The sequence below is a fragment of the Homo sapiens genome, chromosome 1, assembly GCF_000001405.40.
Source record: "Homo sapiens chromosome 1, GRCh38.p14 Primary Assembly".
Lineage (NCBI taxonomy): Eukaryota > Metazoa > Chordata > Mammalia > Primates > Hominidae > Homo > Homo sapiens.
Genome location: NC_000001.11, coordinates 32,320,013 through 32,333,838, shown reverse-complemented (window position 1 = coordinate 32,333,838; position 13,826 = coordinate 32,320,013). Strand labels below are relative to the sequence as shown.

General features: G+C 48.0%; 1 protein-coding gene across 2 annotated transcripts in view, besides 1 other annotated feature; it reads right to left on the bottom strand.

The window, feature by feature from the left end:
- The window catches only part of HDAC1 (histone deacetylase 1), a 41,544-nt gene continuing 27,930 nt past the window's right edge, over positions 213-13,826 (bottom strand). Inside the window, exons 4-14 of one of the 2 annotated variants that reach the window (NM_004964.3) lie at positions 9,286-9,360; positions 6,762-6,900; positions 6,162-6,303; positions 4,679-4,771; positions 3,153-3,261; positions 2,931-3,071; positions 2,257-2,365; positions 2,033-2,163; positions 1,597-1,749; positions 1,090-1,138; positions 213-822 (exon numbers count right to left, since the gene is read on the bottom strand). In NM_004964.3, the coding sequence (NP_004955.2) occupies positions 795-822; positions 1,090-1,138; positions 1,597-1,749; positions 2,033-2,163; positions 2,257-2,365; positions 2,931-3,071; positions 3,153-3,261; positions 4,679-4,771; positions 6,162-6,303; positions 6,762-6,900; positions 9,286-9,360 (1,169 nt within the window). In that variant the 3' untranslated portion in view covers positions 213-794. Of the gene's footprint in view, positions 823-1,089; positions 1,139-1,596; positions 1,750-2,032; positions 2,164-2,256; positions 2,366-2,930; positions 3,072-3,152; positions 3,262-4,678; positions 4,772-6,161; positions 6,304-6,380; positions 6,696-6,761; positions 6,901-9,285; positions 9,361-13,826 lie in introns of those variants that run through there. The other variant, XM_011541309.3, reaches the window with a different exon arrangement.
- Positions 3,555-3,755: a silencer, noted in NCBI's record as "peak162 fragment used in MPRA reporter construct". NCBI's record gives its function as "represses an SCP1 promoter by STARR-seq MPRAs in K562 erythroleukemia cells {active_cell/tissue: K562}" and the evidence as "EXISTENCE:reporter gene assay evidence [ECO:0000049][PMID:32103011]".

The following is a 13,826-nucleotide window of genomic DNA, read 5'->3' as shown; positions in this document are numbered from 1 at the left end:
GTGGTGCTTTAATGAGTGGTCTTCTGGGGGTAGGGTGAGAAGATTGGTGGAAAGTAGTTTACCTCAAACCTCAAGGGAGGAGTTAAGGCAGGCAGGTAAGTTTATGGGGTTTTCTTGTTCAGGGGGTTGCCCCAATACTCATGGACACCAGAACGGCAGGGAAGTAGAGTTGAAACCAACCCAGGGACACATAGGAAACAAGCTCAGGAGGATATAGAAATGTACCATTTTATTACAAAGAGGCTCACAAAAATGAAAATAGTATCTCAAAAAGGAAACTAGACTAGCAACCTCCACCTGCAGAATTAGGAGAAGACAGACAGAGGGCAGGCAGTGTTTCTTGGCTCACTTGAGGCCAGTGGGAAGGTACGAAAACAGAACCAATCTAAAAATGGCTGATGTTACTTTAGGAGCCTGAAAAAAACAGGAGATCCTTGAAGACCCAGCCACCCCTTCTAGAATGTTCAATAAGGGCACCTTTCCAAAGCTACTAAGCAGGCACTTGGCATTTCAGGAGTTTGTCTTATGGTTGCATAAAAGTATCCCTTTCACCCAGACCTGGCACCCTTTATGGTTCAAAGTTAAGAACGGGAAGAATGGGTGGCAAGGTGGCTCCTGGAAGAGCTCACCCAGCACAGCTGCCCTGAGCTCGGGGCCTTGGTTTCTGTCCCTGGGGATATTTATATTTAATAAATTTTTATATAAATACACAGAGAAATAGAAAATATAAAATCTGAGGGGTTGGGGAAGAAACGTGAGGGACTCAGCAGGAAGCCAGAGCTGGAGAGGTCCATTCAGGCCAACTTGACCTCCTCCTTGACCCTGTGGAGAGAGCAGAGACTGGCATGAGATGACCCAGCCCAGAGCCTCAGGGCAAAAGTGCAGACAGTGACTTCCACAGGATCCTAGGTGACTACTGGGGGCTGGGGCTCCTAGCTCTGCCTAGAACTGCAGAGCTGGACAGACTGGTCCCTGAAAGAGGCCTTTGTAAGCTGGACCAGCTGTCCCTGTGCCTTTCCTCAGAGTGGTGGGACAAAGGGGCTGGTGCTCCAATGCCAGGGAGATGGCCACAGGCAGCTCCTTCCTCACCCTTTGGCTTCTGGCTTCTCCTCCTTGGTTTTCTCCTCTTCGGTGACTTCTAGAACACAAGAGTACAGGGATGGCCAAGGGCAGCACCTCTGGGAAGACCCATGAGGTCTTCATTTACCCTGAGACCCCTTCCCCAACACTACAGCTCACTGGACATAAAGAGAGAAAAGCCCATCCCTGGTCCTCCCAGTGAGCCCTGTTGAGAACAGGTTGGACTGGTTTCCCAGCCTGCTACAGCCAGAACCTGGTGGGCGGAGGCAGCCCCCTGGGAAACTGGGGTGCAGTGCTGGGAAAAGGGCTGGGGTGGTATGTGAGAGCCGTGCTCAGGCAGTAGAGGTTCATTGTTTTGTGGGCTCTGCCACTTCTGGGAGCCACTGAAAGGCTCAAGGAACTGAGGAAGAGCCCCACAGGAGCTGGCAGGGCCTGAGTCACTCCCTCCTCCCACTGCCCTACATAGATTCATCCTCTCAGGCTCGAGACCCAAGTCCCAGCTGAACCCAAACCCACCTTTCTTCTCCTCTGGGTCTTTCTCTTTTTCATCCTCTGTTTTGACTCTCTTGGCTTTTTTGAAGTTGGAAGAGTTCTTGCGGCCCCCCTCTCCCTCCTCTTCAGAATCGGAGAACTCTTCCTCACAGGCAATTCGTTTGTCAGAGGAGCAGACTGGGAGGGAGTGGGAAGCATGGGTGAGAGGGCAGGCGGGTGCTGATTTAGCTCAGCATCTATGCCCAGTGCTTCCCTGCGTGTCCTCCAAGAGACACCAAGGGAAAGGGAACCAGAAGAGGGAGGAACTCGGGCTCCCTAACCTGTTCCTACAGGCACTGGAACTCGAAAACAGATTTCTCTACAGGTGGGGAGCTTGGAGGGAGTGTGCAGCCAGGAATGGTGGTGGAAGTGTGAGCTGCCTATTGAATGGAAGGCATAGGGCTCTAGGTCTGGGTCTCACTCGAGATGCGCTTGTCAGGGTCGTCTTCGTCCTCATCGCCACTCTCCTCAGGGATGGCGTCCTCAGGAATCGCCTGCATTTGGACCCCAGGTGCGTGCGGCAGCATTCTAAGGTTCTCAAACAGTCGCTGTCTGTGGCCAATGGGAGAGAGTAGCAGGGCTCTGGTCAGGGACAAACCAAAGTCAGGAATGTTCAACCAAGGGGTGGCTGGAGGATATACTCACTTGATCTTCTCCAGGTACTCATTCGTGTTCTGGTTAGTCATATTGGAAGGACTGATGTGGAGCTTGAAATCTGGTCCAAAGTATTCAAAGTAGTCATTGTATGGAAGCTCTGATTGGGGCAGGAGAGAAGACCGTCAAGAGACCTGGCCACCGCACCCTAACCATTTGCACGTAAGCACCCTAAAGCATTTGTAGGTTTCTCTGGGCCTATTTATCCAAACAGAGGAGAATGCCTCCAAGACACTGTGAGACACGGGTACCTATGGGATTTCCATCTTTTTAACATCACTCTCCTATGTCTGTACCAGTGGTGTATATGTCGCTAGGAGAAGGCCCATGTCCCTGGTTTAGGACACTTGAGGCCATGCTCATTATGAGCGCTCCCTTCACTCGCTACTCCAGTTACTCTACAGAGTAGAAATTCCAAAGCTGTAAATTACCAATGAGAACTTTGTCCAGACCAAAAGCAGGAGGGAGAGGGGAGAGAGCTAAAAAGGACTAGGGAAAAAGTGATGGTTATGGTCTGCTGATCACAAGAGGACAGGCAGGAGACTCAGTGACTAGTATCAGAAGAGGAGCGGTCATATGACCAACGGGGAAGGGGTTATAAACTTAAGGACAGATGAGCTCCAGCTCCCACCCAGCCCAGCCGAACCTGGCCCTGCAGCTATTACCATTAGGGATCTCCGTATCCAGGGCCACAGCTGTCTCATATGTCCAGCACCGGGCAACGTTACGAATGGTGTAACCACCGCCTCCCAGCATCAGCATAGGCAGGTTAAAGCTCTTGACAAATTCCACACACTTGGCGTGTCCTTTGGTGGGAGAAGGGGTGCTGAGTTACAGGAGCACCAAGCAGGACCCCGCCCACCCATCCTTGTGCTACCTGGTCTCACCTTTGATAGTTAGATTGAAGCAACCTAACCGATCCCCAGATAGGGAGTCTGAGCCACACTGTAAGACCACCGCACTAGGCTGGAACATCTCCATTACTTTGGACATGACCTAAAATGATACATCCTGGTCACCACCAACCTCAAGAAAGCAATACGAGGTTTGGAGTGGAAAGGCTGGGTGCAACACTTTCCCACCCACTCCTACCTTTCCACTCTCCCTCATGCTATGTGGGAGAGAAAAGGGAGTGCTAGGCTGGAGCCCTTGCTTGCCCACTTGGGATTTCAATTTTCCAATTTAAAAAGTTCTCTAAGACCCTTCTAACACTCTAGTAACACTGAACCTAGAATGGCCTCCCTCTCAACTCCCTAAGTCTCTTCTGTTGCCCAAGCTCTAGTGCCACTTCCTCCAGGAAGCCTTCCTGACCTTTAGCTGCATCTACTCTACTCATTCGGTCTTACAGACTTGAAGCCTTACATTATGAGCAAGCACTTTTAGTTTATCTTATTCTCACAAGCAGAGTCTAACGTTACTGAGACCGAGACCACAACTCCCACTTCTGTAGCCCTTATTAAATACTAGGCACATAGTGGGCAGTCAGTGTTTGCTGAATGACTACCTGACCTTATTAGGTTAAGCAGTTTCTTACTGTTTATAAGTGAAGATTTAACTCCTTGGCATGGCATTCAAGGCTCCCTTTGAAATACTGAGCCCAGCATACACTTCCCACCGCCTCCTTCAGCACTCCTCCCATACACCACACTGGCCTACATGCTGCCACACTGGCACCTCTGCACTTCTGCTAGTGCCATTCCTTCTACTAAATGCCACCCTTACTGCCATCACCTCCTTCTTCACATGGGCACCTCCTCATTTTCCAAAGTCCAGCTTAAACATCAGCACCTCTGTGAAATCATCCCTGGCTACCCTCCTGCCAGCCCAGGCAGTAGTTTGTCTCTCATTCCTCTGATCATCCCTCAAAAACACAGGCACTAGGCCAGCCTACCCATGGAACATGCCACACAGCCTTTCCAGAATCTCTGGATGGGCTGACTGGCAAAGGGCTTTCCCAGACAAAGCCAGTCTGCAAAGACTGGAGTAAGTCCCTACTTCTTCTAATGTGCAGACATCAATGTAAGGCAATGAGGAACACAAAAAACCAAGGAGACATACCACTACCAAAAGAACACAATAATCTCCCAGCAGCCCAAAGAAATGGAGATACAAAAACAGTACTAATCATAGACTACTGGGTATGTGCCTGCCTTCCCCACCATAGTCCGTGAGGGCAAAGATCATGTCTTAGATATTTTTGTATCCAGCAGAAGACCTGACCCATAGAAGGAACCAATAAATATGGGTGTTTGTTCCCCTAACTGACCACACAGCAATCCAGGGTTCAAACACTTCTATCTCCCCACCAGCTTTAGTAAGGAGAGATTCCTGAGGTATGGTGGGGGTGCTTTGCTCCCCTCCACCGCCAACCAATCCCCTGTTTGTAGCCCAAGGGGTGGATAAAGCCACTTACCGGCTTGAAAATGGCCTCATAGGACTCGTCATCAATCCCGTCTCGGAGCGGGTAGTTAACAGCATAATACTTGCCTTTGCCAGCCCCGATATCCTAATTAAAAAGGCCATTAAAGTAAAACTGAAGGATGAAGCTTGAAGGAAGGTCAAGGATAGGGGCTGGAGGGATAAAGGAAGAGGTTCAAGAGAGACAAGCTAGGCCCATGATGTGGGCCAGGACAGAACAGAGGTACCTTGTTAGTACCATTCTCTTCACTGGCAAATCTAGCTTCACTGGCAAATCATCTCTGGACATAGCATTAAGCCTACCCCCAGACTGAGAGCTCTTGATGGGACCAGAGATTGAATAGCCTACCCTATAGCACAAGATTTCTACCTTGGGATTGGGTTAGAGCTGGCTGGCAGGTGAGTCACAGAAGTGACAGCCACCCTTGACAACCCTTTCCACTCCAGAGAGCTCTAATGCTCACTCCTCTTCCCCCATGCTCCCTCTCTAGGGTGTTGTGGAGGGAAGGAGAGAGGTAAGAAAGTCCTTCCCAGTAACCTCAAAATAGTGAGTGCGCCTATTTAAGTCCAGCACTTTGGGAGGCTGAGGCGGGTGAATCTTGAGGTCAGGAGTTCGAGACCAGCCTGGCCAACATGGCAAAACCCCATCTCTTTTAAAAATACAAAAATTAGCCGGGCATAGTTGCACGCACTTATAATCCCAGCTAAATCCCGGCTATTCGGAGGCTGAGGCACAAGATCGCCTGGAGGCGGGAGGCGGAGGCTGCAGTGAACCGAGATCACGCCACTGCACTCCAGGCTGGGTGACAGAGAGAGACTGTCTCAAAAAAAAAAAAAAAGTGAATGCTCATTTATTCTAACGCTTGCCATGGCAAACAACTGAATTAGTGCCACTTTTTTACCCAAGGGCTACCAGGCATGGCAAAGCAGCTGATTTCACCACATTCATGCTAATAGAAGCAGATGGAACAGTTCAACGAAGTAGCTTCCAAGGATTCTTATCCTAAGGTTCATGGATGGGCTTCAGTAAGGGGACTTGTCTATTAACTATTCTATATCAGATGTAAAATCTCATGTACTTTTCTGGAGAGACAGTCCATAGTTTTCAGTCAAAAGGCTAAAGGGGAAAGTGACCCAAAAACATGAAGAACACTTGAGATGTCCTTCAGAGTCCCAATTCCTACCCCCAAACTCAAGGCTTATGAGACATAAGAATAGTGTGATGCAACCCAGCTGTGGCCAGGAGGAAAGTACAGTGAGTCAGGAGACCCCTCTTCTTTCTCTGGCCCTTTATGTCCCATCATTCCCTTCCTCCAGAATAAGGAAGGGAAAGAGATCAGGGCAAGTGCTTCAGATTGGGATGTGGTATTCTGATTGGCAGAAGAGGCAAGAAGCAATTTTTAGTGGCATGAGATAGGAGAGAGAAGTAGAGCTGCCAGCTGAGGGTAAGCCGGTTGGCTCCTAAAGGGCGTTCTCACCCGTAGGTCCCCAGTTCCTGGGAAGTACTCTCCATACTTATGAAAGGACACAGTCATGACCCGGTCCGTGGTGTAGAAGGCCTCTTCCACGCCGTCACCATGGTGAATATCAATGTCAATGTACAGCACCCTCTGGTGATACCTAGGATCAGAAGGGGGTCAGGGGTCTGGGGGCTCTTTGGGGATGGGACGTGCCAAGGGCGCTAGCTCCCAGCTTACCGGGCTGGCTGCCTCCCTCAGGTATCTCTAAGCACCAGAGACGTGGAAACTGGCTGAAGGAAGGTGGAAGAGCGGCCGGGTGTCTCCAGAGGCCTGACCAAGCCGACCAAGTCCGATCTTCCTACTCTACAGCCAGGGTCAACTCCAGCCACACAGGGACACTCTGGAGGCAGGATCTGAGCAGCATCTGCCCCTGATCATGCCGTGGCTCAGATCAAACCAAGACCCCATCAAGGAGATGATGGCCAGAGACACTCACCGAGCACATCCTAGCCAGCACATCGGTAGGAAAAGCAAACTAGGGAGGCAAGCCCAGGGGAAGAGGGAAATGGGAACCTGGCCTAAGGTGCTCTTCCAAGAGACAAGGCCAGGCAGGCATACTTTAGCAGTTCCAGGATGGCCAAGACGATATCATTGACGTAACAGAAGCCAGATGCCTCGGACTTCTTTGCATGGTGCAGGCCCCCAGCCCAATTCACAGCGATGTCCGTCTGCTGCTTATTAAGTTTCACAGCACTTGCTGGGCATGAGAAAAGAGAACATAAGCCTGTTACTAAGCCACTCTCCCCTTCCTCCAAGAAGCCCAGGGAACCTAGTGAAAGGTTAAGACCTGCCTATTCAACAGCTGTATTGTGCAATTCATAGACCAGTCCCCTCCCTCCCACCCTACTTCAGCAGGGAATACATGATACTGTCTACTCGTAAAAAACGATTTTCCAAACTGAGGGTAGTAACCCATTAGCAGGCCTTAAAATTGATTTAGTACATCATGATTAGTGTGTGTGTGTATATATATATATATTTTTTTAATGAAATAGCATAGAAAAAAATATCAGAGTAACAGTAAGGGTAACTGCTCTTTTGTAAAACTCTGGCTTCAGAGTGAGTGAGTGTGTGCATGCATGCATATGTTATATGTATCCTGGATTGCATGTGTAAATTTATTTCTTACTATGGCTCATGGTCAAGGAACTTTGAAAAAATACCAAAGATAGGCCATGCGCGGTGGCTCACACCTGTAATCCCAGAAGTTTGGGAGGCCAAGGCGGGCACATCACCTGAGGTCAAGAGTTCGATACCAGCCTGGCCAACATGGTTAAACCTCATCTCTATTAAAAATACGAAAAAATTTAGCTGGGCGTGGTGACATACACTTGTAGTCCCAGCTACCTGGGGAGGCTGAGGCAGGAGAATCGCTTGAACCCAGGAGGCGGAGGTTGCAGTGAGCCAAGATCACGCCACTGCACTCCAGCCTGGGTGATGGAGGGAGACTCTATTTCAAAAAAAAAGAAAAAGAAAAATTACCAAAGATAGTGCTGATACACTAGGTCAAAAAGCACTAGCACGAATAGGTCCCAGAAGAAGTAAAAGATAAATACACACCCATGTGTGCAAGTGCATTTGTGGCAGTGTTAATTTGTTGTTGTTTTTTGAGATGGAGTCTCACTCTGTCACCCAGGCTGAAGTGCAGTGGCGCGATCTCGGCTCACTGCAACCTCCGCCTCCCAGGTTCAAGCAATTCTCCTGCCTCAGCCTCCCAAGTAGCTGGGATTACAGGCACACACCACCACGCCCGGCTAATTTTTGTATTTTTTAGTATAGATGGGGTTTCACCATGTTGGTCAGGCTGGTCTCAAACTCCTGACCTCAGGTGATCCACCCTCTTCAGCCTCCCAAAGTGCTGAGATTACAGGCATGTGCCACCGTGTCCAGCTGCAGTGTTGATTTTAACAGCAATAAAAGCATAGATTGATCCAAATTATCAAGAAGAGGGACAGATTATATCAACTCAAGTAAATCCACAACATGGAATAATCATAGAGCCACAAGAAAGCAAGCTGTAGAAAACTACAGACAATTTCGTTAAGTAGGAAATGCAGGCATAAAACCATATATATGTGATATGTATATAACCCACTTTTGTAAAATATAGATGTTGTATATGTGTGACACAGATATAAACACACACACAAAAGAATGGCCATACAAACACCAACATGGTAACAGAGGTTATCCACCAACCCTGTGACTGTGGGTGATTGTGTTTTTTTCTGTGCACTTCTTTGTTTTCTGTGATTATATTGGTGGGGCAGCGGGGATGGACACAATGATTATATTGGTGGGGGATCACAGGAAAATAAATATTTGTTAAGAAAGCGTTTAGAGTAATCCTGGAGATAACCCAAAAGTTGCAAATGGAAGTGGGAGATACATGAGGAGTATTTCTGACCTCTAAAGGTAATTACCATACTTTTTCATAGGACAGATTCACAGATGATGACACTTCCATTTTTATAGCACTTTGCAGTTCACAAATTGCTTTTACGTACAGCATCTTAACAACCCCAGGAGGTCTGCGGGGAACGCCTGTACATAAGATCTCTTAGTAGGAAAGGACAGTCAAGGACACCTGTCAGTACCATGTCAGAGATTGAACCTGGGCTGGGACTGAACCAGAGGGACATTTTAGAGGCTTTTTAAATTTTTTTTTTGGAGGCAGGGTCTTGCTTTGTTGCCCAGGCTAGAGTGTAGTGGTGTGACCACGACTCACTGCAGCCTCAACCTACTGGGTTTAAGCCTCAGCCTCCTGAGTAGCTGGGACTACAGGCACGAGTCACCATGCCCGGCTAATTGTTTTTACTTATTTTATTTTTTTATAGACAGGAGGGTCTATGTTGCCTGGGCTGGTCTTGAACTCCTGACCTCAAGCAATCCTCCTCCTCAGCCTCTCAAAGTGCTGGGATTACAGGTGTGAGACACTACACCAGCCATTTTAGAGACTTCAGTAAAAACCACAGGACCATTCTACATGGTTTCAGATCAGCCAACTAGGATAGCAGCCTAAAAGGCAGACCTCACTAGAACAACCCAGTCTACCCCTGGGGAGAAGATGAATATTCCTTACCCACAGAACCACCAGTAGACAACTGACAGAACTCAAACAGGCCATCGAATACTGGACAGTCCTCACCAACGTTGACTTGAAAGAAATAAGCAAAAGGTTAGTTTCCACAATTTCCTTTAGTTTACATATTTATGAGCTGATGGAAAAAAACACAGAATTTAAATTCAGGAGGTGTGGGTTCTAGTCCAGGCTCTACTTCCTGGCTGTATGACTGCATCAAGTTGTTTAACATCTTTGAGCTTTAGCCCATTATTATTTTTTTATTTTTTAGAGCCAGGGGCTTGCTCTGTTGCCCATGCTGGAGTGCAGTGGCACAAACATGGCTCATGTGCAGCAGCTTTGACCCTCACCTCCTGGGCTCAAGCAATCCTTCCACCTCAGTCTCCCAAGTACTTTGGACTACAGGTGCATGCCACTATACCCAGCTAATTTTTTTTTCTTTTTTTTTTTTTTAGAGACAGAGCCTCACTATGTTCCCTAGGCCTCATGCAGTCTTCTTGCCTTGGCCTCCCAATAGGCATGTGCCATCACACCTGGTCTTAGCCCATTATCTATAACAAGCAAAACTGATATCCCACCTCACCCACTGGTCAGAAAATTAACAAAAATCTAATATGGAGAAGCAGTTAGCAACTTGGAAAATGTTGGTTCGTTTCTTGAGGGAGAAAAACTTATCCTCTGGCCCTCACGCCAGCTGACAAACAAGGGGCAAGAACAGAGACCCAGAGAACTATCGTTCACTGCGCACGTACAACACGCCAGACACTGCGCTACATGCGTTAAATACCCGAGATCATTCATCTTCACACAAGCTTCTGAGGTAAGATTTGGTCCCATCTTATAAGTAGGGAAACAAGGCCTGGCACAGTGGCTCACACCTGTAATCCCAGCACTTCGGGAGGCTAAGGCAGGAGGACCACTTGAGGCCAGGAGTTCAAGACCAGCCTGGGCAACATGGAGAAACCCCATCTCTACCAAAAACATAAAAATTAGCCAGGTGTGGTGGCAGCTGCCTGTAATCCCGGCTACTTGGGAGGCTGAGGCACAAGAACCACTTGAACCCGGGAGGCAGAGGTTGCAGTGAGCTGAGATCGCGCAACTGCACTCCAGCCTGGGCGAGACAAGAGTGAGACCCTGTCTCAAAAAAATAAATAAATAAATAAGTAGGGAAACAGGTTCAGAGAGGTGAGCTGTTAGTAAATGGCAGAAGCAGTATGCAAGCCTCAAGCTTTGGTTTGTCTGTTTTTTTTTTGAGACGGAGTTTTGCTCTTGTTGCCCAGGCTGGAGTATAGTGAAGTGATCTTGGCTCACTGTAATCTCTGCCCTCCAGTTTCAAGCCATTCTCCTGCCTCAGCCTCCCGAGTAGCTGGGATTACAGGTACCTGCCACCACACCTGGCTGATTTCCGCATTCTTAGTAGAGACGGGGTTTCACCATGTTGGCCAGGCTGGTCTCAAACTCCTGACCCTGTGATCCGCCCGCCTCGGCCTCCCAAAGTGCTGGGATTACAGGCATAAGCCACCGTGCCCAGCCAGCCTGTCTGTCTTAAAAGCCTGTGAAAATATATCCCGGCCCTTTTCCAAGTCCTTTCACATATACAACCTCATTTGATCCTCACAACAACTCTATGAGCTGGACAAGCCAGATATCAACCCCACTGTGCGGAGGAACAAACAGATACCGAGAAGTTAAGTGATTTGCCCAAGGTTATAAAACCAGGCAGTAGCAGAACCAGAATCAGGGTCCCGGTGTCTTGACTCCCGTAGCCCAGTGTCTTACTGCTACATTCACAGTGACAAGTGGAGTAAAGTTATTTCGGGCCTAATGGGGTAAAAGTACCAAGTAGTACATAATGTGGAAACATATGCAAACAATAAGGCAAATGAAATGAAAACAGGAAGGAAAGCACACCTGGAGGCTGTAGACTCACAGACCTAGAGGAACTTTATAGCTCCAAATCTCCTCTTACAGAAAAGGTAACTACTGGCCGGGCGCGGTGGCTCACACCTGTAATCCCAGCACTTTGGGAGGCCAAGGCAGGTGGATCACTTGAGGTCACGAGTTCAAGACTAGCCTGGCCAACATGGAGAAACCCCGTCTCTACTAAAAATACAAAAATTAGCCAGGCATGTGCCTGTAATCCCAGCTACTCAGGAGGCTGAGGCAGGAGAATCACTTGAACCCAAAACGTGGAGGTTGCAGTGAGCCAAGATTGCACCCCTGCATTCCAGCCTGGGTGACAGGGCGAGACTCCATCTCAGGAGAAAAAAAAAAAAAAAGTAACTGCTGAGACATCAATGAGCTACAGGAAGTCAGAGGCAGGAGGTGTGGGGCTGCATACTTATTCTCTTGCCCAGCCTTCTACTGTACCCACTGTTATCAAGATTTCCAAAAGTAGAGGAAGGAGCAGCCCTGGGGTGAGAGCAGAAGAGCTCAGTTTGGATTGTGCTGGTAAAATCTCAAGACACAGTTGAAGCTCAAGATCTACAATAACCACAAGAGTTACCAGCTCTGGTTCTGCACTAAACTTGGAGGGTGCCAAGATCCGGTGCTCTGAGGAAGAAGCATGGCTGCATGAGGGAGTGTGCAGCGGGTGGGTCTCTTCCTCACTTCCTGGGTAAACACTGGGAGGCTGTGTAAATAAGAACTTTGGTCCCTGGGCCCCGGCTGTTTATCCATTGGCAACTGATTTCCCTCTCTGGCCACTTCCTCCTGCACAGAGTTTGGCCTGCCTGCGTTTCCAAAGCTTTGTTTATACTCTTATTTGGGATATGGAGCCTCCATGGGAAGGAATGGGTGTTTTGGACGTGAGAAAAAAAAAAATATTTTTCTTCAGGCACCAAACCAACATGTAGCTCAAATGACCAGCCCTTTTATTCCTAGTCAATAAGCTATGTGATTAGAGATGGAAAGGGGGCAAATGGAAGAGCAGATACTCATGTGAGCTAATCTGTGAGGGTAGGGAAGACTTTTCCATGGGTTTTCTCTCTTTCTGCTATAAACGCTTTTCTCATTCTCACACTAGCTTTAGACTAAAGGGAAGCAATACTGGGTGAGAGGTGGAAGCAGACGTAGGCAGAGAAGGCAGTCAAATGCTCATTGCAAAGAGATGGGAAGATTAAACACTAACCTCAGGATAGTGCTTATACCTTGGCAGTGCTGGTAATGGGGTGGGGGGCTGGGGGAGTGGGAGAGAAAGGGTATGTGATCAAGGAAAGATGCCCAAGGGGGCATCAACTGTATTGATAATGTTTTCTTTCTCAGGCTGGGTATTGGGCACACATGGATGTTCATTATATTATTATTATTATTTTTTTTTTTTTGAGACAGAGTCTTGCTCTGTTGCCCAGCCTGGAGTGCAGTGGCGCAATGTCAGCTCACTGCAAGCTCCGCCTCCTGGGTTCACACCATTCTCCTGCCTCAGCCTCCCAAGTAGCTGGGACTACAGGCACCCACCACCACACCCGGCTAATTTTTTGTATTTTTAGTAGAGATGGGGTTTCACTGTGTTAGCCAGGATGGTCTTGATCTCCTGACCTCGTGATCTGCCCGCCTCGGCCTCCCAAAGTGCATTATATTATTTTTTGATGCTTTTTGTGTGTGTCTAAAATATGTTTTTTTCTTTTTCTGTTTTTTTTTTTTTTTTTTTTTTTTGAGATGGAGTCTTGCTCTGTCGCCCAGGCTGGAGTGCAGTGGCGCGATCTTGGCTCACTGCAACCTCTGCCCTCCAGGTTCAAACAATTCTCATGCCTCAGCCTCCCGAGTAGCTGGGATTACAGGCATATACCACCACACATGGCTAATTTTTGTACTTTTGGTGGAGACAGGGTTTCACCACGCTGGCCAGGCTGGTCTCAAACTCCTGGCCTCAAGTGATCCACCTGCCTCAGCCTCCCAAAGTGCTGGGATTACAGGCATGAGCTACCCTGCCTGGCCTGTGTATCTAAAATATTTTATATACACTATATTTTTTAAAACTACAGAATTGGGGGACTAGAGTTCCATTCTGCATTCTACCATCACCTTGCTGTGTGACTGGGAAAGTTTACATGTCTGTAAAATGGATGAGAATGTCTCCCAATTTTTTACCAATCCCTTTTATCATGTTTTCACCAAAAGCCCCCTAAATGCATTTATTTGTGTTCCCATTTTCACTTGCTAAATATTAGGTCAGAACTTCTGGTCAAGGCTCTCAAAGTGACCAGAAAGGGTTTATTACATTTCAGCCACAAGCAAGGAAACCTGATTTACTCGATCTTATCATAAGCATAACTTCCTAGATTAGGTGTGTGGGATGTTTTTGTGTGTGTGTGGGTTTTTTTTTTTTTCTTTTTGAGAAGGAGTCTCGCTCTGTCGCCCAAGCTGGAGTACAGTGGCGTGATCTCGGCTCACTGCAAGCTCCGCCTGTCGGGTTCACACCATTCTGGTGCCTCAGCCTCCCGAGTAGCTGGGACCACAAGCGCCTGCCACCACGTCCGGCTAATTTTTTGTAAATTTTTAGTGGAGACGGGGTTTCACCGTGTTAGCCAGGATGGTGTCTC